Raw genomic sequence first — 25,149 nt, forward strand, 5'->3', positions numbered from 1 at the left:
AGTAAGTTAAAGCACTATGTTATTCTTTCAGTGACAGTGACAAAAATGGGAACATGCTAACCAAGAAGTGGATGAATTTATCTCCCAAGGCCCTTTTGATTGCATGAGTTTAGTTTCTTCCTTGCAATTACAGATCCTTTCATATCATATCCTCATTAGTATGGTTTTCCTTGTGCTTAATAGCCTAATTCTGTCAATCTCCTTCTCTTTTTGAATAGCAGCTATATAGAGATATGTTAAATCAAACTAAAATTTGGCCTGAGAAAGTCTTTGTACTTGTACACTCGAATTCTTAAGTATAAACTGCAACCTAACTTAGTAGGTAAACAAACTGAAAACCTAATTTAGGAGTAGGCTTCTATAACAATAGCTGAGTCTCAGCCAATCACAGCCGCCATACTTAAACAACCACTCACAGGCAGCCAGCTGTTCAAACCCTGCTCAAATAAGGCAAAGGCCCAGCTGTTTCTGCACTCGCTTCTGTTTTCTGTATGTCATTTTCCTGATTCTGTCCATAAATCTCCTCTGACCATGGGGCAGCCCCAGAATCTCTGAATCTGTTCTGATTCTGGGAGCTGGCTAATTCTCGAATCGTTTTTGTTTTTCTTGCTCAGTTAAATTCTGTTAATTTTAACTTGCCTAAAGTAACAGATCTAATTCGCATACCATATAGATCACCAATTAAAATTGTACAATTCGATAGTTTTAAATTTATTCATATAGTTACGCAACCGCCACTACAATCTATTTTAGAATATTTTCGTTACCCCAAAAAGGAACCCTACTAGCAGTCACTCCTCATTTCCCCCCAATTGCCCATACCCCCAGTCCTAGGCAACCACTAATCTACTTTCTGTCTCTATGGATTTTTCCCTTTTTGTACATTTTATATAAATGGAATCATACAATATGTGGTCTTTTGTTACTGGCCTCTTTTCACTTAGCATAATGTTTTCAAGGTTCATCCACGGTGTCACACTGTCAATCTCTTTTTAAAGTCATTATTTTGCATACTTAGTAAACACAGACCCAAATATTTAACTATAAGCATTCTTGGTAGAATAATCAGTTATAGCATTTAAATATCTGATCATATTCTCTCTCTTTCTCTCTGTCTCTCTCTCTCACACACACACACACACACACATAATGCAGGTAGACACTCATAAATTTACCAAAATTTGGCCTCACATATTCAGAAATCAGTTAAACGCAATAGACTGGACATGACTGTTTCTTTAGAAGTCTGGCTAGTGCTGTGGAGAATTATGGATAACCCTTATAAATTTTAAAATGTGCGCTACAATTTATTCTGCAGGGTTGTTTGTATATGTTTAAAAGACTTTTTTCATAGGAAGCCTCCAATATTTCAAATTACATTCTAATAAAGGTTGAGGTTGAATATTTCACCAAAAAGAATGCTTTATAGCCCAGACACACAAAATGATAACATCAAGTTGTACGTGCTAGTGCACTCACCTACCTTAAATTCTGTGTAAGTTACAGGCATGTTATTAATAATACTTCCTTAAAAGCAAAATGTGATATGTGCCAATTAATTATGTAAATCTCATTGAGGGAAGGATTATTATGGCTCTAACTAAAGCAACTGTCAAAATTACTGTAACCTGGCCAGGCACGGTGGCTCATGCCTGTAATCCCAGCACTTTGGGAGATGGGTGGATCACTTGATATCAGGAGTTTGAGACCAGCCTGGCCAACATGGTGAAACCCAGTCTCTACTAAAATACAAAAATTAGCCGGGTGTGGTGGCGCACCTGTAATCCCATCTACTCAGGAGGCCCGAGAGTCGCTTGCACCCAGGAGTCGGAAGGTTGCAGTGAGCCAAGACTGCATCATTGCACTCCAGTCTGGGTAACAGAGCGAGACTCCGTCTTAAAAAAAATTAAATTAAAAAATTAAAAAAAAAAACCAGACAAACAAAATTACTGTAACTAAAAGCAAGACCTTCTGTAACTTGGCAGTTTAATTAATGTAAGACAAGAAAGATTCACAAGTCTTTTCTTTTATTTTCCTTCCCTCCTTCCCTCTCTCCCTCCCTCTCTCCTTCTCTTTCTCTCTCTCTCTTTCTCTCTCTTTTTTTTTTATTATTATGCTTTAAGTTCTAGTGTACATGCACACAACGTGCAGGTTTGTTACATATCTATACATGTGCCATGTTGGTGTGCTGCTCCCATTAACTCTACATTTACGTTAGGTATATCTCCTAATGCTATCCCTCCCTCCTCCCCCAACCCCAGGACAGGCCCCGGTGTGTGATGTTCCCCTCTCTCTTTTCTTTTCTTTCTTTCCTTTCTTCCTTTTGCTTCCCTCTTTCCCTCCCTCCCTCCCTCCCTCCCTCCCTCCCTTTCTTTCTTCCTTCCTTCCTCCTTTCCTTCCTTCCTTCTTTTCTTTCCTTCTTTCAACAGGGTCTTACTCTGCTTTCCGGGCTGGAGTTCAGTGGTGATATCATAGCTCACTGCAGCCTCAACCTCCCAGCCTCAAGTGATCCTCCAACTTCAGCCTCCCAAGTAGCTGGAACTACAGGCATGTACCACGACCATGTCCAGCTAATTTTTGTATTTTTTGTAGAGACTGGGTTTTGCGATGTTGCCCAGGCTGGTCTCAAATTCCTGGGCTCAAGTGATCTACCCACCTCGGCTTCCGAAAGTGCTGGGATTACAGGCATGAGCCCAGCCCACAAGTCTTTTTAATCACTAAAGTAAGTGTTAAAAAAATATATTTTCTCTTTTAAAAAGATTACGTTAGTGAGATCCCAAGCAATCTTCCTTCCCATTGATGTTATCACTGCACCTTTGTGGTAGGCAAATCCTCAGTTTTTCTTTTGCAGATAAGGAAGTAGAAGCCTGGAAAGAAAGCCCAAACTCAGAAACTTACCTAAAGCGCTCCCATTTTGCTTTCTTATGTTAAATTAAGTTTAGCCTGGTTGGGTGTGGTGGCTCAGGCCTCTAATCCCAGTAGTTTGGGAGGCCCAGGCAGGTGGATCACTTGAGCCCAGGCGTTCAAGTCCAGCCTGGACAACATGGCAAAACCGCGTCTCTACCACAAAAAAAAATTAGTTGGGTGTGGTGGCACGAGCCTGTAGTCCCAGCTGCTTGGGAGACTTGCGGTGTGAGAATCACCTGAGCCTGGGAAATTGAGGCTTCAGTGAGCCATGATCGTGCCACTGCACTCCAACCTGGGTGACAGAGCGAGACCCTGCCAAAAAAAAAAAACAGTATTTCCATACATAGTGAACTGTAACCTAAACAGATGTGTAAACACACTGTAACCCTCACTTGTAAAAATTACTGAGTTTTGGCCAATAAAAGCAGCCAATTGTTCAAATTGAGTTCAAATAAAGCAAATGCCAAGGTGTAACCAATCCAGCTATTGCTGTACCCCACTTCCATTTTCTGTATGTCACTTTTCTTTTTCTGTCCATAAATTCTCTATGAACATGTGGCAGCACCAGAGTCTCTCTGCACCTAGTCTGGTTTGGGGTGGCTGCCCCATCGTTCATTGCTCAATTAAACTATGTTAAATTTAATTTGTCTGAAGTTTTTCTTTTATCACTTCCTAGGAATGAAAATGGTTTTCATTTCTACTTGCCTATATCAAGTCTTACCCATCTTTGTCAAGCCTAGCTCAAGTTCCATTGCACAAAGGATGCCTTCTACAACTGCTTTAGCCCTATTATTCTCATTCTTTTCAGCCTACCTACGGTGCTTCTTATATATTCTATCTTGAATTGTTTTCTCATTATTACAGTTATGTGGACTTTGATCTTGAATTAATATTAGACTATTAATTCGTTGTGTTTTGAGACCATACTTTTTCTATGTTGCTTATAATAGTTATCTGATTGATTAATTAGATATTTAACACCCAGAAAGTCGGGAGAGGGGAGGGTGACACTTTAATTTTGAGCATTTCCAGTGATGATAGTGATCTTTGTTAAATCTACATATTATAAAGTCCATACTGATTAAATATGTCCTAATCCTATTAAAGAGACTTCAATTAATTTTTTGTTTTTTATTTTTTAATTTTCTTATTCTCAGATACTGATAATTTTTTTTTTAACAAGTGAAAATCTGAAATAAGCTTGGACATGTCAGAGTAATTTCTTTATGTGAATGTGCGTGTAAGATAGTTGGCCTGCATTAGCAGGCATTCACATTCATAATAATCTTTAGGTTTGAAAAATATTTGACAATTGCCTATTCACTATTAATATTCATGTCCTATACATGTGTACATTTTGAGTTGGAAACATAAAAACACTCCACTAATAAACAGTGGTAATAACTGTTCAAATCTGTATCCTATGGATCAAAAAAAAATTAATAATTGTCCAGGTCTTCCAAGATTTCCTCTATGCCAAATATTTTAAGTATGAGAGAAACCTTTAAAATCATACTTAATTTTAATAAAAATGTCATCTCACAGCACACTGAATAAAAAGAGGGATTAGGATCAATCCAAGAACCTAAAATATCACAACATGGAATAGAATTATCCATGAATTAAAAAGATGATTTAAAAAAGGATAATTCCTTGAAAATAATCTGATAAAATAAAATACAATTAATTAAAACAGATTAGTACACAATTTTACATTTAGAGACTGAGAAAACAATTAGGTGTGTTAGAAAAATGATTTAGTATTGAACTGATCAAGATTCTTTAAGTTATTCCTGGCTTATATAAAGTTTATGCAGCAAAATCATTTTTTAATAGACTACAGAAAGGAGGTTTTAAAAAAAATGATAAAAATTATCTCAGACGGGGTGAGGAAAAAGAAGAAAAAATAAAATAAAATAAAATAAAATAAAATAAAAAATGGATAAAAAGTTCAAGCCAGTGGTCAGGCACGGTGGCTCACCTCTGTAATCCCAGCACTTTGGGAGGCCAAGGCAGGTGGATCACCTGAGGTCAGGAGTTCGAGAGGAGCCTGGCCAACATGGTGAAACCCCATCTCTACTGAAAAAACAAAAATCGGCCGGGTGTGGTGGCAGGTGCCTATAATACCAGCTACTTGGGAGGCTGAGGCAGGAGAATCGCTTGAACCCGGGAGGCAGAGGTTGCAATGAGCTGAGACTGTGCCGTTGCACTACAGCTGAGGTGACAACAGTGAAACTCTGTCTCAAGGAAAAAAAAAAAAGTTCAAACCAGCAATGACATGTTAAGAATAAAGAATTAAAAATGGATAGAAGAGGAAACTGACAACTTACTCTAGGAAAATTTCAGGGAAAATTTTAGACTATGTACACATAATACATTGTGAGCTAGACTGGGGAGAGTGTTGGGCAGAACAATAGGAAAAAGAGCAAGAAAAAGGGGGATGTGCGTATCAAAAGGAGGAAAGAAAAGTAGTTTGGACAGACAAAAAACCTAAGAGAGATATTGGCGCCTTCTTATGATATCAGCGGAGGACAGGAAGAATAAATGGTTTTCAAAATTTTGTGATATTGACTTTAAGTGATTTATTACAAAGGCATTAGGATCGAAAATTGGAAATGGAAGGAAAGGTAAAAACTCTTAGGTTACTGATTCACAAGGTCTGTGAGAATCCTATATATATTAATAGCTTTTTGTTGCTGTTGTTTAACAAGAATAGACATAAAATAACCATTGGTTCAGCAAACATTTACTGAACTCCTATGTGTCAGGCACTATGCAAGTCACTGTCAAAATAAATTAAAGCCTATAAGCAGGTGGAGGGAACCCTGACAAACATCTGTGCAGGCTTTTTGATACAGATAAGAAAACAATCAACTTTGGGTTACTTCGTGAATGATCCTCTATGAGGTAAATTGATGGCATGAAAAATTATAAAGAAATGCTGTTTAAGAGCTTTGAGCCTGAGGATCCTTTCTTCCAGCAAAATGCTAAATTTGAAAAGATCCTTTAGATTCTGGGCAACACAAAGGTAGCTTAGTTACATCAAACTGGCTGGGTATCTTAATAGTATTCATTAAAATGGAGTTCTACCTGGATTATATAGTGGAGCTTGTTAAACAGGAATCTCAGCTAGCATCCAAATAGGTGCTTCTGTGTTTAGGGTGTGTTTTATCTGTTGGAAAGTTACTGAGGCAATGAGAACTAATGCCATCAGCTAGGTACACTGCAGCTTTGAAACTATGGACTATTGCATTTCAATTAAAATGACATTTCTTGACTGAATTCTGACATCCTCAGTGATAGTGGTGAATGAAGACTTTTATCAAAGTATAGATTCTATTAAGCTTTTAAAAAATTTTATTAATTTTTTTTGTAGAGATGAGGTCTTGCTATGTTGTCCAGGCTGGTCTTGAACTCCTGGCCTCATGCAATCCTCCCACTGCACAGCCTCCCAAAGTGCTGGATTACAGGCGTGAGCTACCCTACTCGGACCAATGTAAGCTTTTTTGAATTAAAAACAGGAACTGTAAATAGCATATACGTAGGATTCTTAATATTTTTACTTTAAATTCTAGAATTTGAAAAATAAACTAAAATTGAATACAACGTAATTGAGACAAATATATCTGCACTGGAAAATTTAGCTTACAGAGTCCCTTCATGCTATTGCTCAGTCTGTAATTTTAAGTTTAAGAGCAGGTGGAAGCTCTTCAGCGGTGACCGACAGACACCATAAAAGGTAGAAAACTGAAAAAGCCTATTTCCTGTATCTAAAAATTTTTTGTAAAGAATTCCAGAAGTCACACCAAACCTTTGGCCAATTACTGAATGCTAGAAATCTCATTTGGGAGCTTACTGTAAATGTGTGTGGCAATGCACTGGCTCCATGTTCAATCCAACGCCAACATGTTGAAATCAGTATTTTTGTGCTGGCCCAAACCTGAACCAGTAGAAAATCTCCCATAACAGAAATTCAATGTTTGTGAAAGCATGATTGCCCTCCCATTTCTTTTTCACCTTCCTGTGCCTTTCATAAGTTCTTCCAGTTGGTTAATCATTAATTAATATTTAACAAGGCTTTTTCCTCGTGCCAAGTCCTCTGCTAGTCTAGCCTTTAGGCAATATATGAACTCCCCAAGTTCTTCCCTTTTAAGAAGCCTTGGCACTCACTACGGATTAATTTCTCTAAGGAAATTCATAATGGCAGATGAAATAGGGGTTCCTTTTCAAGAACATTCCATTTTAAAGCCTCTCAGCATTTTTTCCTGGTACATGTAAAATGCGACTTAATTGAACTAATTTTAAATGTTGACAGAACTTTCCAAGCACACATTTCCTCAACAAAATGGTTACGACTGGAACAGGAAAGGGCTTAGACTTTTTCTTCTACAGCTATCCCACAAGTCAGTCTCTTGACCTGACCCTGCAAAATCCCTCAAACTCTGGCTCTCTGAGTTGATTTTGGATATACGATGAACCATAGGTTTGGAATGCAGATAACCTCCACGTGTATTAATGAAAGAGGTCAGCTATGACGTGGAAGCCATCTCCTGGGCAGAGAAGGAGAAGAAATGGCAGTCTGGGGAGTAGTAACATGTCTCCAAATTTTCTCTGGTGAAAGGAGACTGATGAGAATTGATACCCATTTCCGGTCAAAAGAGTGGAACCAATGTACTTCCAACCACCTCCTCTCAACCCCTCTCCGCATGGACAAACATACCAGACAGGTGATGTGGGCTAACAATTTACTTGGCATGAGGCCAAAGGCTTGAGGGCCCTGCCCTGCCCATATTCTTCTCCCTTGACTTCTTAAGGAAAGGAATGATTGCTGATGTTTCCCTCTGCACCCTTTGGCACCTGGACTGATTGTTGCAGATGTAATTAGGAATGTTCCCCAACATGCCGTTATTCTTCTCACGATTCTGGGAGAAACTGTACCCCTCCCCCATAGACTTATATAGGTGGCATTCAAATTCTTGTTCCCAACTTTTTCATCTTTTTATTAATCCCACAAGATTGTGTGAATGTGTACTCCGAGCCAGGCACGTTGGACTTCTAACTTCCTCTTAGCCCAAGTAGGAAGGGGAGACTCAGGCGCTGGGGACCATTCTCCTCTCCCTGCAGCAGAGTTGCAGTCCCTATCCCTCCTGGGTGCCCATCCCCGTGCCTATTTTCCTGGATCCCCACCCAGTTGATGTGACAGGCTCGTGGCCCAATCCCCTTCCTGGTTCCCAGGCCGACTGCTAGCACCACCCGAGCCAATGGCGGCGGCCGAGGGGCGGAGGGGGCTGGCAGGAGGGGAGGGAGCGCTGGCTTTAGAGCCACAGCTGCAAAGATTCCGAGGTGCAGAAGTTGTCTGAGTGGGTTGGTCGGCGGCAGTCGGGCCAGACCCAGGACTCTGCGACTTTACGTAAGTGCTTTGTAGGCGCCGGCGGGCACTAGGGGAGCGGGTTTCCTGGGCGTGGGCAGGAGTGGGTCCCGGGGAGAGCATCTCGGTTAAGCTCAGCAGGAACGTGCGGCGCACCGTGGGGCGGGGGTTGGGGGAGAGGGAGGTCGGAGAAATTTCAGTTGGAGCCCTCGGGCGCCCGGGCGATCGGTCGCAACCGAAATGGGTGTGAGTGACGGGGAGTTTCCCTACTAGCATCCGCCGCAGACACGTTTTCTGCACTTCACTGTATTAAGTGGTGTTTTCTTACTAGTTGCTCTTAACTTGTTGCCAGTCTTGGGCTGGAGTCCTAGACGCCAGCCCTTGCCCTGATTCCCCTCCGCGGCTGCGGCCCCGAAGTGGAAAGGGAGCGCACAACTTCCCTCTGTCGTCCTTCTCCAGCTACTGCCATCCCCTCTTCCCTCCCGCCCGGACTCAGGAAATCCCGGAGCCAGCAGCCTGCTACTCCTCCAGCCCCCACACGCCCGCCTCGGGTGACCTGGCTGGCTTAAGCCGACCCTGGGGCTCTGGAGAGGGGGGGCCGTGGCCGAGGGAAGGCACGAGGTTTGGGTTGCCTGCCTTCTGCCTGCTTCCCTCCCTTGTCCTTAGCGAGGGCGTCGCGAACGCACCTAGTCTCCCTATGAGTAAGCACTTTTTTTCCTTTCAGTAGGAGAACATCTCTGGGCTAGTAGGACAGTACCTTTCCGTTCTCCCCTGGCCCCACACCCCCTGTCCTTTTTTCAGCTCCTTTGACTTTGCGGCCCCGGGCGCGCGGTCGGGGCGGCGGCAGTCCCGGACCTCTCCCGACTCTTGGAGAGGGAGAGGCAAAGGGGCGACGGGAGGGAGGTAATAGTCTACCCCCCCGCCCTTTCCCCGCACAGCTGCACTTGCCTGTGTTTACTTTTCTCCACCCGCAGTACTTAAGCGCTGTAATGAGAGGCCCGGGGACGCCGACCACCCCCGCCCTGGCTTCTCGCCAGTCCCAAAGTTGCTGCCGCCGTCGCTGCTCCAGTGTGCTGGCGGTTCCGACCGCCGGGCTCCGGGACGTAAGATGATCCCAGCCCGGGAGGTGGAGTGGGGGTTAATGGCATCTGACTCTAGCCTTATGCGATGCTCCTTGCCTCTCACCTGAGCTGCACGATATCCCCAGTGGTGCAGAAGGTTGAACTTTTGCAGAAGGTTGAGCTTGGAGCTAAGTGGGTTGGAGAGCCTCGCCATTTAGCGTCAGACAGACGGGATGCTGGGGGCGCCCGGCCTGTTAAGAGGGATTGGGAGGAGGGAAGGGAGCCTGGCTAACAGTAGGTAGAAAATGTAGGGAAAAGTAAAAACCATTGAGGGGCAAGCACTTACTCCACTTTGCTGGATGTCACAATGGACTGGGGAGCCTAAACTTGATCCTCGAGATGCAGTTCATGGTGAATTCCAACTAAGTGGCTGGAGCCCCACACATACCAGTTGGAATCACGTGCCCCAAGTCTCTGATGGTCACATGACGTCTTTTTACTTTAAAGCTGGAATGTAATGGTTGAGGCCCATATTCCAAAAACCACCTCTACGTTTGAAAAAAAAAAAGGTGGGGAGGAGTGTGAACTAGCTTCTAATCAAGGAAGTCTACTAGGATTTTGGATGAGGGGACCAGAAAGGGAATTTGGTGCTCAGCTTTTATCCAAAACAAAAACAGGAGCTGTTTTTAAAATAAGGGATTGAAATATATGTGAGCTGGGACATGTATCTCCTCTCTTCTTCAATCTCATGGTTTTTCTAAATTTAAAAAACATCTTACTAATTATTTTCTAGGGAAGTCATCCTATTACTCATGCCTCATTTTGTCCCTGAATACTAGATTTGAAGCTAAATCCCACAAGATAGTGTTAAAAAGTAAGGCTCTGTTCATCTTCCTTGGTCTGGCCTATATTCTAATTGAACTGTTCCCTATTTTAGGCAACTACTTAAAGGTAGTAAATAACCTCTTGACTAAAATTAACCACCAGTTATTTGTGGTTTTCAATTAACTGGATTAGAAATCATGCACAAAAACAGTGGATAGTAAATTTGATACATCGAGTTGGTTGGGTTTTTGCCTGTCAGTGGTTTGGTAGAATAATGAGAGGACACTGAAACAACTTTCCCATATTGACCTATACCCGCCCAAGTGGCCCAAGTTAAGGTTGCTTCTGGGAAAACGTGGCAATTTGGCTATTCAGATTATATATTACAGAGTATAGAAGAGAGGCAGAGGAGCCTCTGAGGTCAGGAGTTTAAAAGCTTTGCTTATCTGAAAAAAAAAGAAAAAACGGACCTGGTTGATGCATATTCAGTCTTGAAAACAACTAGGGCAGAAGATATTTAAGAGATTCTGACTTTGTATTCTTTTGCCAAAAACCCTTTGTCTCCTGCAGCAGCCTCTGAATGACCGGAGCACTCCAGTTTCTTGCTGTTCATCCGTTTCTGAGCCTGAAAACTAGAACAACCTTAAAGCACATTGTTCTGACCCCAAGGCTAGCCTTGTGGCACAGATGAGCTGGAAATGGATTTAAGGTGCACCTGAGTTACTAGAGTTAACTACACTGGTAGATAGACCCCTCTAGTGGAAGTGAGGTGATAATATAATTTTAGATCGAAATAATAAATGTTTAACCTCAAAAAAAGGAAGTTATTACCACTCAACTAGGTTACAGTGGTAGGGGGATAAGTTCTTTTTTAAGTATTGTGAAATCATGTCTAAACAGAATCATCGCTAGGCTCTAGTCCACAGCTTTTCATTGTCTTGGGATGCCTACTCATTGAACACCACCCCCAATATTGCTGACTTTTTTTGGTGGTATGATCTAATGAGCCCAAATTTTTATTGAAATTAGGGGGCTGGGAGTCAAATTCTTGATTTTTACTGTTAGATCTAGCAGATAGCAACCCCTTTACCTGAGGTGGGGAGCTATTAATAAATAAATAACACTTTGCCTTGACTTAATACAGACGATCAACATTGAAGTCCAAAGTCTCTAGTCTGATGTAACCATTTAGATTCAATTGATAAAAATGACTAGGCTTATGGCATTTTGGGTAGAAGGATTAATTATAACTAGTGAGTAATAATTTGGGTGAGATTAAGCCTCTTCCACAAGTGGTTACACGCACATTAGACTTTGACTGTGACTGTTTATACTGGCAGAATGTCAGTATCTAGGGCACTATCAGAAACCCAATGAGATTTTTCTCCCAGGAGAACAGAATTCTGTTACTGAAAATAAAAGGGCAGCTTGGCCATGGTGCTTGAGCACCAAAGTGGTTCTTTTTGGTGACACTGAGAGGGTACAAGAAGAAAGTCCATTTGCCATTATCCCATATTCTGTTTTAGGCATTATTTCTACTTGGATTTTCATGAAATGTACTGACAGTGTTCTTAGCACATATGATAAATTCATGAGTTTGCTGTTGTGTTTGATCTAGCATAATCTATGTGGAATGTATAAGCTGAACTGTTTCTTTTTTGATGTTTGGTACAGATTATGAAAGTAGCTGGTATAAAATAAAATTTGAAAATGAATATCTCTCAATACATGACAACAATGGGGTATCTGTTTTTAGAATCATGTTGTCTTTGGTCATATGGCAATTTTTCTTTTGGTGAAGAGTGATCCAGAAGGCAAAATTTTTGATCTGTGAAAATAATACAACTCATTTAGAAGAAGTCAGCTGGGTCATGTTTTGAGTCTGTATTATTTTAGACAGTGATATACCATATAATGTATATTCAGTGTGTTGGAGGTTTCAAAGCTTTTTGGATACATTACAATGTTGGAAGATTTTTATATACCAGTGGTCATGACTAGCTGATTTTAGTTATGAGAGCGCTTTGGTTAAAGTTATGGAAACAGTCTAATCGTGAAATGTCAGTCTTAGAAGATCTGATCATACTTGGGCCAATTTATTTTAGTTACGGAGGTGAGACAATTTCAGAAGATTCACGATAAATTTAATAATACCAAATTTTGCCTTAGTCTTGACACTTGGAAGATAAATATTAGTGAGTATAAACTGTTTTAGGGATGAAGAAGTATTGTTAGTATACAAAAATGAAAATACTAATTATTTTAGCATGGGTCTTTTAGTCCTTTGCAGTCTGGACAGATAGATTATCTTAAGTAAATCATTGAACTTGCCCTCAGAGGAATTAGATTCTAGATAGTGCTCTGCCATTGACTCATAATTTGACCTTCGGAAAGTCATTTAAAATTATTATATTAATAACTAATTGAGTACATACATGTGCCAGACACCATTCATGCTTTTGTTTATAAAAAGAGAGGATTGCTCAAGCTTTTTGGTTTGCTGGGTTTTATTTTTTCAAATATTCATAATCTGGCTTATTTCACTTATCAGTTGACTTTTCAAACTTTGATGCAATTGCATTGATCCAAGCTAAATACTTTGTTGGCAAATTGATGACTATTCAGGAAAGTGATCACCAGTGGGTTATTCCATGACTAATGTTAGTTCTTTAAAATAAAGAGGTGCCATTTATTTAATTCCTTGACAGGGATTTTTGGTGCATTAAGCCTACTGATTTTATAATATGAGAAACCTTACATTTTCTTAAAAGTTTAGAAACGTATTTGATAATAAGGAGGTAGTGTTGTTTATTGGAAAAGCATTGAGCATAGAATTTAGGGTCTTTTAGTCCTTTGCAGTCTGGACAGATAGATGATCTTAAGTAACTCATTGAAATTTTCTGTGGTCATATCTGGGTTTCACTTTATTTTTAAGCCATGTGATTCCAATCTACATATTTCACAGGCATGGTAAAAGGATAAGTGAGAAACGTGAAGCCTTGGCTTTTAAGCAGACAGGTGCTATATAAATTCAAAGTACTGCAGCAGTGTATCATAGAAACACTAAAGCTTTAACAAGAGTTTACAGAAATGGCAGGGTTCTCATCACGTAAGTCTTGCCACATTTTTCTTTGTCTGTAAAAGTTCTGCACCCATCCAATTTTTACAAGCAAAGGAAAAATAAAGCCAGACATATTATAATGAAAAATAAGAGACTAGGTTGATAACAATAGAATAAAAACCTACATGTGATACTTTCTTCTTCTTCTTTTGTTTTGTTCTGTTTTGTTTTGTTTTAAAGACGGAGTCTTGCTTTGTCGCCCAGGCTGGAGTGGTGCAGCGGCCGTGATCTCGGCTCACTGCAAGCTCCTCCTCCCGGGTTCAGGCCATTCTCCTGCCTCAGCCTCCCGAGTAGCTGGGACTACAGGCGCCCGCCACTGTGCCCAGCTAGTTTTTTTGTATTTTTAGTAGAGACGGGGTTTCACCGTGGTCTCGATCTCCTGACCTCGTGATCCGCCCGCCTCGGCCTCCCAAAGTGCTGGGATTACAGGCGTGAGCCACCGCGCCCGGCCCGTTTTGTTTTGTTTTGTTTTGAGATGGAGTCTCGCTCTGTCGCCCAGGCTGGAATGCAATGGCGTGATCTCAGCCCACTGCAACCTCTGCCTCCGGGTTCAAGTGATTCTCGTGCCTCAGCCTCCTGAGTAGCTGGGATTACAGGCGCGTACCACCACGCCTGGCTAATTTTTGTATTTTTAGTAGAAATGGGGTTTCACCATGTTGGTCAGGCTGGTCTAGAATTCCTGACCTTGTGATCCGCCCGCCTTGGCCTCCCAGAGTGCTGGGATTACAGGCATGAGCCACCGCGCCCAGCCCATGTGATACTTTCTTCTATTTCTTACCTCAAATATTGTGCAAGGTAGCCCGTTAAAGCCATTAATTGGGTGGTGTTTTTCCCCTTTTTAACTAACTACTGAGTAGAATTTTGGTCTTCAGTGGTAATTGTTACAGAGTCCATTGGCTTACCATACCTCATTTTTAGTTTTGTGATTGCCCATAATGGGAGGTTTCGTGTAAAAAACCTCATAAAAAATCAAGTTTTTCCTCCTCATAATTGCAGTCTAAAGGAGGACAACACGCAGGTCTGGGAAACTGCATAGTGGAAGAGATAATCTATACATTTAAGTAGCATGCCATGAATAACACAAAAAATGGCCTGGCACGGTGGCTCACATCTGTCATCCCAACACTTTGGGAGGCCGAGGTGGGTGGATCACTTCAGGCCAGGAGACCAGCCTAGCCAACATGGTGAAACCCCGTCTCTACTAAAATACAAAAACTTAGCCAAGCACGGTGGCACGGGCTTGTAGTCCCAGCTACCCAAGAGGCTGAGGTGGGAGGATTGCTTGAGCCTGGGAGGCGGAGGTTACAGTGAGCCGAGATTGCGCCATTGCACTCCAAGCCTGGGCTACCGAGTGAGACCCCATCTCAAAAGAAAAACAGAAAAACAAACAAACAAACAAAAAAAAACAGAAAATGTGGGAAGTTAAGTTGAAAAATAAACACCTTCAAAGCTATTAACTTGGATTTTCTTTTCTTTTCTTCTTCTTTTTTTTTTTTTTTTTTTTGAGTCAGGTTCTCACTCTGTCGCCCATTCATACTCTGTCCAGTTCATTGAAAATACAAGTCTGATTCCCTTGAGTTGTGATATTCATACACACACGAGTATATATACACTTATGTGTGCATATGTATATTATATAAAGTTTTACGTGATATATAATATAAGTTTTTACTTTCTGTAAAATAAAATTTGTTAGGGCCGTATAATAGTTTTGAATATTCATATTATTGTGTTCCACATTATAAGCTCTAATTACATCGTGTTGCACTCAGATTGACATTCTGCTGTTGACACTGAAAATAACGCTTTCATTCATAGATGAATGTAATTTTCAAGCTTTTTTTCTATATTTCTTAACTTGCTTGAATGTTCCCATTTTTGCCATTTCTTGTTGTTCATTTTAACATTTTGGGGCTTGTGTTTCAGATCAGGAAGAATCACCATTATAGGGTGCAAAGAGTTTGCTCAGAGGTGAAAATGATACGAAATTGTCCCTAGAGCACATCCTATTGCTATACTATTCAACATGTATGAATTAATCTACTGGGAAAGTGTCTTGTGTAGTGTGTACTTTAAAGATGTTTTCAATCACTTTGCTTTGGATTAGAAAAATTCAAGGTAACTATAATTTTAAATGCTCATATTTTTATGTTTATTTTATATGTAGGAAGAGAAATTTTTAAAAATTGGAATAACACTATATCCCATTCTTTTCATTTATTACATTATAAACATGTTTCCAAGTGATCAAATATTTTTAAAAATGTTTAAAATCACTGCAGTATATTTTATATAATGGCTGTTTCATAATTTATTTCACTAATTCCAAGTTGTTGAACATTTGTTTCCATATCTTACAGATAATGCTTCAGTAAGCATTCTTGATCGAACATCATTTTGCACTCTATCATTTTTTAGAAGTCACCAAGAATGTTTTAAAGATGAATTCCTTTGATAGTCCCTGAAATTTAAACATTGGCTTAAACAAAAAGATAGCCTTGATTTCAGTGGCATTTAAAAAAAGAAGGCTGGGCATGGTGGCTCAGGCCTGTAATCCCAATACTTTGGAAGGCCAAGGCAGGCAGATCACTTGAGGTCAGGAGTTCAAGACCAGCCTGGCCAACATGGCAAAACTCCGTCTCTACTAAAAATACAAAAAAACTAGCTGAGCATGGTGGCGCACGCCTGTAATCCCAGCTACTTGGGAGGCTAAGGCAGGAGAATCGCTTGAACCCAGGAGGTGAAGGTTGCAGTGAGCCAAGATTGCACCACTGCACTCCAGCCCGGGCAACAGAGCACGACTCCGTTTCAAAAAAAAAAAAAAAAAAAGAAGAAGAAAAAAGAAAAGGCCATTCTTTATATAGTGTATTGTATCATATGTGACTCTAAACTGGAACTTGTTTAGGTAAAGTATATGTCTTGGAAGTATTTTGGTTTTCTCTGATCTAGTTAGCAGGTGCAGAGCAGGATGAGGTAGGATTCTGTGCTGTGTACAATCATAGGAAGTTCTGTTTTTTGAAACGGAACTGTTAATGGGGGAAGGGAGACACGTTTGTTTTTAAGAAGCCTTTATGTTTAATATTATTATAAAACTCAGTTCAAGTATACAAAGCTTATTTGTGCCTATGAACATTCAGTATCCTAAAGAAACATTTAATCCTGGTGTTGGCTAAATGACTATTTGCTGATATGCCCTTTTATCTCAAGGCTATTAGTTTCTTAAAGTACTTTGATATCACTCAATAAACTACAGTTAAACTCAGAGTTTTACATTTCATTCAGGTTGCTTAAATAATATAACTAAACATAGGTCCAATAATAGTAAAAATTCTGATGCTGTCACTTAATTTGTGCCTGGTTTCAGTATATGGCGATTGCTTAAATTACAAGCACTTGAATTTACAAATATTTTGTGTATTTAAATGGCTCATTGTACATTACATATCCCTCCTGAAACTTAACCCATGCCATTTCACAGACCCTTCCATGGTGTTTTTCTCTTTCCTCCAGTTCACTAGCCTCACTCACCAAAGACTTTATTGGTCTGGGAATTCTATTATGACCCAGAAGTGACTTGGAAGGTTCCTTTCACCCAACAACACATTCTCACTACCTTTCTTTTCTTTTCAGGGGCATCATTTACATGCTATGTTGCACAGTCAGAATGGATTTTAGCATAAAGTATGGGTTCCAATAGCTCTCGCATTTTATTATTTATTTATTTGTTTAGAGACAGAGCCTCACCTTGTCGCCCAGGCTGGAGTACAGTGGCACAATCTCGGCTCACTGCAACCTCCATCCCCCAGGTTCAAGCGATTCTCCTGCCTCAGCCTTGTGAGTAGCTGGGATTATAGGCTCCTGCCACTGTGCCCGGCTAATTTTTGTATTTTTAGTAGAGATGGGGTTTCACCGTCTTGGCCAGGCTGGTCTTGAACTCTTGACCTCGTGATCCACCTGCGTTGGCCTCCCAAAGTGCTGGGATTACAGGCATGAGCCACCGCGCCTGGGCCAGCTCTCCCATTTTATATCTCTGTGGCATTGAGGAGGTTTCTTAACTCTCTGAACCTCAGTTACCCCATGAATAAAATGAAGATAATACACTCACTTTTCACTTTGTTCTCATAATTATTATATGAGAACACTTATAAAGCAACTAGCATATGGTAGGTGCTCAATAAGTATTTTCATTTACAGGTTGATTAATGTTGCCTTAGATGATTTTTGTCAGGCATCTATATCTACCTCTTTTTCTCTAATTTGAGTACCTTCCTACCTTCCTTTTTTTTTTTTTTTTTTTGGACAGAGTCTTGCTTTGTCGCCCAGGCTGGAGTGCAACTGTGCGATCTCAGCTCACTGCAACCTTGACTTCCCGGGGCTCAAGCGATCTCCGTGCCTCAGCCTCCCGAGTAGCTGGGATTACAGGCGTGTACTACCATGCCTGGCTAACTTTTTTTTGTAGTTTGTTTTTTAGTAGAGATGGGATTTCCCCATGTTGCCCAGGCTGGCAAGATTTTAGAAATTAGTGGGGTTTTTTGTGTTTTATTTAATGGTATTGGAAAAACACTCCTTTTATTGTTTTTCATTGTGAATGTGAAGGATTCTAGCCATGTTTCAGGTTGAAGAAGCTTCTTCGCTTAGCTCAGAAACCTGTTTATCGTTTAATTTATTCTTTTTTTTTTTTTTTTTTTGAAACGGAGTCTCACTGTGTCGTCCAGGCTGGAGTGCAGTGGCGCGATCTCAGCTCACTGCAACCTCCGCCTCCGGGTTCATGCGATTCTCCTGCCTCAGCCTCCCGAGTAGCAGGGACTACAGGTGCCCACCACCATGCCCTGCTAATTTTTTGTATTTTTAGTAGAGACGGGGTTTCACTGTGTTAGCCAGGATGGTCTTGATCTCCTAACCTCATGACCACCCACCTCGGCCTCCCAAAGTGTTGGGATTACAGGCGTGAGCCACTGAACCCTGCCATTTAATTTATTCTTTTGTGAGGATATGTGGAGAACTAGCCAAGACCCGTCACAGTGGTTTACGCGTGTAATCCCAACACTTTGGGAGGCCAAGGCGGGCAAATCACTTCAGCTCAGGAGTTCGAAACCAGCCTGGCCAACATAGCAAAACTCTGTCTCTACTAAATATACAAAAATTAGCCAGGCGTGTTGGCCCATGCCTATGTACCCAGCTACTTGGAAGGCTGAGGCACAAGAATCCCTCGAGTCTGGGAGGCGGAGGCTGCAGTGAGCCAAGATCGTGCCACTTCCCTCCAGCCTGGGTGACAGAGCAAGACTCTGGAAAAAAAAAAAAAAGAAAAAGAAAGAGAGAAAGAGAAAAGGAAAGAGGAAAAGGAAAAGGAAAGAAACAAGAACTCACCTTCAAAGGAAAATTGGAAACATGGCTCAGTAAATTACAGACACCGTTATAAACTCAAGGCCGCTAACAAATACAGCTTAAATCAGAATGAAAGGTAATAGGTAGTGTTGATACCTGACTTGTGGAGGAGGAAAAAAAAGTAGGGGCAAAGAGAAAATATATTATTGAAAACTTAAAATGCTGAGGATGGCAGAGGGTTATAAAGTAAACCAATATGTTTTCATGATGACATGTAGCCTTTAAAAATGGCTGAATCTAAAACATACTTATGATGCCCATTATTTTATCTAGTGGAAATTTTCAAAAGCAAAAACCAGGAAATGATGAAGGCTATTGACACATTCAGAAAATATTCTGAGCAGTTTGTGGGTCTCCATTGTAAAGCTACAGTTGAATCATTTTTACAAGTGGGTATGAATAATTACAATTTTATATTTTGTCCTGTGGTAATTAAAAAGCAAATAGAGCCAAATTATCATTAAGTGTAACTAACAGAAAAGTAATATTGATAGATTTACATGTTTAAAAATATAAGCCAACCCATGCATTCAGTATTTTATCCTCAAACAAGGTGTTCCAGCTTTAGTTGACACTCAGATAAAAAGCAAACTAGTGGCTGGGCATGGTGGCTCACATCTGTAATCTAAGCACTTTGGGAGGCTGAGGCAGGAGGATTGCTTGAGCCCAGGAATTCAGAACCAACCTGGGTAAGATATCAAGACCCTGTCTCTATTTTTTAAAAAATAAAAATAGAAAATAAATTTTAAAAAAGCAAACTAGAATATATCTAGTAGGTGCTAGCAGAAGGGGAAAAATTCTCTAAGCAGAGATTTGTGTAAAAATGAAGGGAAGGTTAATAAGTATCTAGAAACTGTAAGTGTTGTATAAAAGAAGGCTTATAGACCATTGGTAAATAGATGTAAAACTCAAGGAAACTTTTAAACGTGCCCAAAGTTCTTAAGTATATATTAAGATGGTACAAACTACAGATGAAGTAATAGTTAACCAAATATACTAACATGCACAATTGCTTAATTAGTCTATTTGTGGAATGGTTTCATTATTCATTCAACTACCATAAGTTTAATGCAGACTGTTAGGTGCTAGGGCTACAAAGACGGATAAGATACTCCTCCAGTCTAGTAGAACAGAAAGACACAAAAATAATCTTGGTTCTCATGAAACCTAAAAATATTCATAAATGTAGAAAATGAATTTAGACCGTGCCCGGTGGTTCATGCCAGTAATCCCAGCAATTAGGGAGGCCGAGGCAAGTGGATACCTGTGGTCAGGAGTTCGAGACCAGCCTGGCCAACATGGTGAAACCCCGTCTCTACTAAAAATACAAAAATTAGCCAAGTGTGGTGGCAAGCGCAAGTAATCCCAGCTACTTGGGAGGCTGAGGTGAGAGAATTGCTTGGACCTGGGAGGCAGAGGTTGCAGTGAGCCGGGATTGCGCCATTGCACTCCAGCCTGGGTGACAAGAGTGAGACTCCGTCTCAAAAAAAAAAAAAAAAAGAAAAAAGAAAGAAAGGAAAAAAAAAGAAAATGAATTTAAATACAGCCTTTTTTCTCAGCATAAAATAATTTCTAAATATAAACCTTGTGTGAACAAAGAAATTCACTTATAACCCAATATAATCAAATCTAAACTAAGAACAAATCTCATTTAAACATTGTTATTTCTTTGCAATAATTATTGCATACCAAAAAAGAGCCCACTATGAGTTAATGTTACTTAAATAGAACATTGCTCAGCCTACAAATGAAGGTCAGCAGACACCAGTGTCTTGGAATAAAATAGCCCTTTGGCAAGAAAACGAGCCACACCCCATTTAGTTTTTACAAAAATAAAATTCTTTCCAGCTTTACTAAATTGTAGATGTTGCGCCCAGCATGTACTTCTGCAGTAGTTGATTCTGCAGCTGTGGAAATATTCATGTATGCAGAAGTCCCCAAAAACATCTATTCACCATTACTTGCACATGCAGCTCTTATACTTTCTGTAGTAAAGTATTCCGTTAAGTTTTATTTTGACTCGTGGATAATAGCAAGCAACTACAGGTATAGCTGACACCTTAATTTCCTGCCTTGAACTTCTGGCCACAGACTTTATTTTTTTATTTTTTGAGATGGAGTATCGCTCTGTTGCCCAGACTGGAGTGCAGTGGCATGATTTCGGCTCACTGCAACCTCCGCGTCCCAGGTTCAAGCAATTCTCCCGCCTCAGCCTCTTAAGTGCCTGGGATTATGGTGCACACCACCATGCCTGGCTAATTTTTGTATTTTTTAGTAGAGATGGGTTTTCACTGTGTTGACCAGGCTGGTCTCGAACTCCTGGCCTCAAGCGATCTGCCCACCTCGACCTCGCAAAGTGCTGGGATTACAGGCATGAGCCACCTTGCCTGTCCCATTGTCACAGAATTCAAATTGAGCAGGAATACGTAGGATTTCAAATCTAACAGTTGTTTCATTTGGTGGGATAGCATCAAAGCCATGTACTGTGACCACTGTATATGGTTTTCTTCAAGAGCAGCAATAAATTTCTGCCATGTACCATGGGAAAGAGCTGTACTTTTAGGGAGAAAGGAAATAAGCCCTGAGAAAAAGCCCCATTTTCCTAGTTCCTTTCACAGTTCACCTGGCACACAACGGGTCTTGATATTTATATTTGAAAGAGTGAAACATGGATGGCCATAAATGCTCCTTGCTGATAACGATTGAATTGGGAAAATCTAATCAGGAAATCAGTGATTTATGAATTACATTGCATAAAATACATAATGATGGGAGCCTGTAAGAAGACTAAACAAATGGCTTCCTTAGTTTATTTTTCCTTTAGGTTTTAGTTGTTTTCAGTGAATATTATGAGTGAATGTTATCGATAGTGTTTTCATTGTGAGAACTGCTAAACTGTAGAGTCAAAGAAGAAATTGGGACATATTAATATTTTGACTTTTATGCCAGCTTTATTGAGACATAATATCATACTTTTTTTTTTTTTGAGACAGAGTTTCGCTCTTGTTGCCCAGGCTGGAGTGCAATGGCACGATCTCGGCTCACCGTAACCTCCGCCTCCCAGATTCAAGCGATTCTCCTGCCTCAGCCTCCCTAGTAGCTGGGATTACAGGCATGTGCCACCACACCTGGCTAATTTTGTATTTTTAGTAGAGACAGGGTTTCTCTATGTTGGTCAGGCTGGTCTCAGACTCCCGACCTCAGGTAATCCGCCCACCTCGGCTTCCCAAAGTACTGGGATTATAGGCGTGAGCCACCGCGCCCGGCCCCATACCATCTATTTTTATAGATTTTAGTATATTCACAGATAACATGCAACCTTCACCAGTCAATTTTCAAACATTTTCATCACCTCAGAAAGAAACCCCATACACTTTAGCTATCACCTTCCACAGCACTCTACCCCTGCAACCCTAAGCAACCACTGAACTATTTCCTGTCTCCATTGAGTTCCCTGTTCTGGACATTACATATAAATGGAGTCATATAATAGGTGGTATTTTGTGACTAGTTTCTTTCACTTAGCCTAACATTTTCAAGGTTCACACACCTTGTAGCAAGTATCAGTACTCTATTCCTTTTTATGGCTGGATAATATTTCATTGTACACCATATTTTGTTTATCCATTTGTCCATCGATGGATATTTGGGGTTGTTTCTACACTATGGCTATCATAAATAATGGGACATGCAAACATTAAGTGTCTATCCATGAGTCCCCTAATGAGTTAGAGGTGGTGCTGACAAGATAACATTTCACTTATTACCACTCTGCTCTTAATATAAATCCTTGCTTTGATTAAGCACTACCGATTTTTCCATCTAAGTTTTTTTGTTATTTTTTGTTCCTTGAGACGGAGTCTGGCTCTGCTGCCCAGGCTGGAGTGCAGTGGCACCATCTCGGCTCACTGCAAGCTCCGCCTCCCGGGTTCACGCCATTCTCCTGCCTCAGCCTCCCAAGTAGCTGGGACTACAGGCGCCCGCCACCACACCTGGCTAATTTTTTGTATTTTTAGTAGAGACGGGGTTTCACCGTGTTAGCCAGGATGGTCTCAATCTCCTGACCTCGTGATCCACCCGCCTCGGCCTCCCAAAGTACTGGGATTACAGGCGTGAGCCACCGCGCCTGGCCTCTATCTAAGTTTAGCTATTTTTTTTCTTGTTTCCTGATGCTTATTGGCTTATCATCGACTTGTTCTCAATAACGTTTTCCTTAGTAGTATTTATACTGGAATAATAGAAAGCCTGTAAATGCTGTATAATCATCTTTTCTAAAACTTATTGTATAATAAACATTTAGCACAGTTTTGTTTAATCACATTTTTTGAACACTAAGGAGCAAAGGCAAGCAGTATTAAGGAGTACAAAAGTACATGATAAATGCTTTGAAATGCAATGGGTTCAATCAACCAAAAGCATTATTGAGCACAGCTAATATATTTACTTTTAAATGTACTATTCAAGTGTGAAATATATCCATATAGAACAAAATTCAAAACTCACAAAGGGCCATAATGATAAGTAAATTAGCCTCTAACACTTAATATTTTTAAGAAGACATTAGTGTTTTACGTTTAGGTATTTTGACAGTAAGTTTGAGGGAGTCTTTATCTTTTGACCTTTTGGGGTGAATATGAGAATGAAGGAATATAAAAAGATGATTAAAAGAATCACCAGGCCGGAAATGACGGCTCATGCCTGTAATCCCAGCACTTTAGGAGGCCGAGACAGGAGAATCACTTGAGCTCAGGAGTTTGACACCAGCCTGGGCAACATAGCGAGACCTCATCTCTACTAAAAATAAAACAAAATTAGCCAGGCATGGTGGCGTGCGCCTATAGTCCCAGCTACTCAGGAGGCTGAGGTGGGAGGGTTGCTTGATCCCGTGATCACGCCTCTGTATTTCAGCTTGGGTGAGAGAGATCCTGTCTCAAAAAAATAAAATAAAATAATATCCTGCAATTTCAGATTATTCTTTTAAGCACCCTTGACCCCAGATTCACCAGATCAAAACAGCTAATGACTCATAGAACTTTACTCTGTCATTATTTTCCAGATTCAACCCACAGCGAAATTTTTGGGATCCAGTCTCCTTACTCTTATGGGCAGGCGGAACCTTGCAGATCCTTTAGGAAAGGATAGGCTTCCCTGAGAAAGGTGGGCTGGAGTTAAGTCAAAAAAAAGGTGCAACTTTCTGGAGTCCCATTTAGAACTTCCTGCGTATTTAATAGGCCTTTGCTAATTATTAACAATGTGCCTGGCACACTAACATAAATAAAACAGTGTGCCATCGTTTGAAGAGCTGAGTCTAATCCACCTACTGATTTTTACAAAGGAGGCAACTGAAGTCTGATTTTGGCTTGCCTCAGCATAGAGTGCTCCAGGACAATGGTGGAGGATCAGGTCGCCATCACTGGAGACCCAGATTGTAGTAATGGAACTGATCCATCATTCTTCTCACTATATATTTAAACTCCATGTCCAGGGTCAACTTTGTTTAGTAGCAGTGCCTCTTCCCTGAATCAGTTTGTATCTACACTTAATTTCTTTCAGAGATTAATAAAATGACAAATGCTATCTCAATAAAGTTACCATGAACTCTCTGAAACTCATATCACCCATGACTAAAGCAACTTGCTTTGAGTCTGACAAGCTCTTCCCTAGCTAATGGAAATGCATTAGCAATAGCTTTACAGTGGTAAGCTATTTTTCTAGGTCATATTCAACCCAGAGTAGTCACATGCTGACAAAACTTCAATCCTAAACACTGATCATAAAGAGTTTCCTATATTGTATGTAATATATCCAAAAGTTTTTGAAAACTCTAATTCCAGTATATTGAATATACATTATAGGGTTTATCACTCCTGATTTTTTTTTTAATTGAGACGGAATCTTGCTCTGTTGCCCAGGCTGGAGAGTAGTCCCGTGATCTCGGCTCACTGCAGCCTCTGCCTCCCAGGTTCAAGCAGTTCTCGTGCCTCAGCTCCCCAAGTAGCTGGGATTACAGGCGTGCACCACCACGTCTGGATAATTTTTGTGTTTTTTGTAGAGATGGGGTTTCGCCATGTTGGCCAGGCTGATCTGGAACTCCTGACCTAAACTGATCCTCCCGCCTCGGCCTCTAAAAGTGCTGGGATTACAGGAGTAAACCACCATGCCTGGCCCACTCCTGATTTCTTCTAAACTGGATTTTATCATTCTCAGAGTCAGTGTTTCCTCTCTGTATTACTCCTTGCCTAGAAAAAAAAATGTCCATTTCATTCATCTATTCATTGACTTATTCAAGTACTTACCGAGCACCTTATATATGTCAGATACTATTCTAGGCACTGGGGATTACAGCCGTCAATGAAACAGACAAAAATCACCGTCTTTATGAAGCTTACATCCTACTAGGGGAGAGATAGAAAATAAACAATGATTTTATATATTATATGCTAATGTGTTATGGAGAAAAAGTAAGATTAATGGTATAGGAA

General features: G+C 40.6%; 1 protein-coding gene and 1 long non-coding RNA gene across 4 annotated transcripts in view, besides 2 other annotated features; one reads left to right on the forward strand and one right to left on the reverse strand.

The window, feature by feature from the left end:
• PLS3-AS1 (PLS3 antisense RNA 1) overlaps nucleotides 1-9,788 on the reverse strand; it is a 44,543-nt gene extending 34,755 nt beyond the window's left edge. For both annotated transcript variants that reach the window (NR_110384.1, NR_110383.1), the window contains 2 exon segments: nucleotides 9,461-9,587; nucleotides 9,683-9,788. This is a non-coding gene — a long non-coding RNA (PLS3 antisense RNA 1).
• Nucleotides 8,231-25,149, forward strand: part of PLS3 (plastin 3) — an 89,688-nt gene continuing 72,769 nt past the window's right edge. For both annotated transcript variants that reach the window (NM_001282337.2, NM_005032.7), the window contains exon 1: nucleotides 8,231-8,317. The gene's annotated coding sequence lies outside the window, so the exon portion shown is untranslated. The remainder of the gene's footprint in view (nucleotides 8,318-25,149) is intronic.
• Nucleotides 9,005-9,780: an enhancer, noted in NCBI's record as "H3K27ac hESC enhancer chrX:114796275-114797050 (GRCh37/hg19 assembly coordinates)". NCBI's record gives its function as "activates a minimal SCP1, AML or CMV promoter by ChIP-STARR-seq in naive H9 embryonic stem cells {active_cell/tissue: H9 hESC(naive)}" and the evidence as "EXISTENCE:reporter gene assay evidence [ECO:0000049][PMID:30033119]".
• Nucleotides 13,151-13,715: an enhancer, noted in NCBI's record as "H3K4me1 hESC enhancer chrX:114800420-114800980 (GRCh37/hg19 assembly coordinates)". NCBI's record gives its function as "activates a minimal SCP1, AML or CMV promoter by ChIP-STARR-seq in naive and primed H9 embryonic stem cells {active_cell/tissue: H9 hESC(naive and primed)}" and the evidence as "EXISTENCE:reporter gene assay evidence [ECO:0000049][PMID:30033119]".

The sequence above is a fragment of the Homo sapiens genome, chromosome X (assembly GCF_000001405.40).
Source record: "Homo sapiens chromosome X, GRCh38.p14 Primary Assembly".
Classification (NCBI taxonomy): Eukaryota; Metazoa; Chordata; class Mammalia; order Primates; family Hominidae; genus Homo; species Homo sapiens.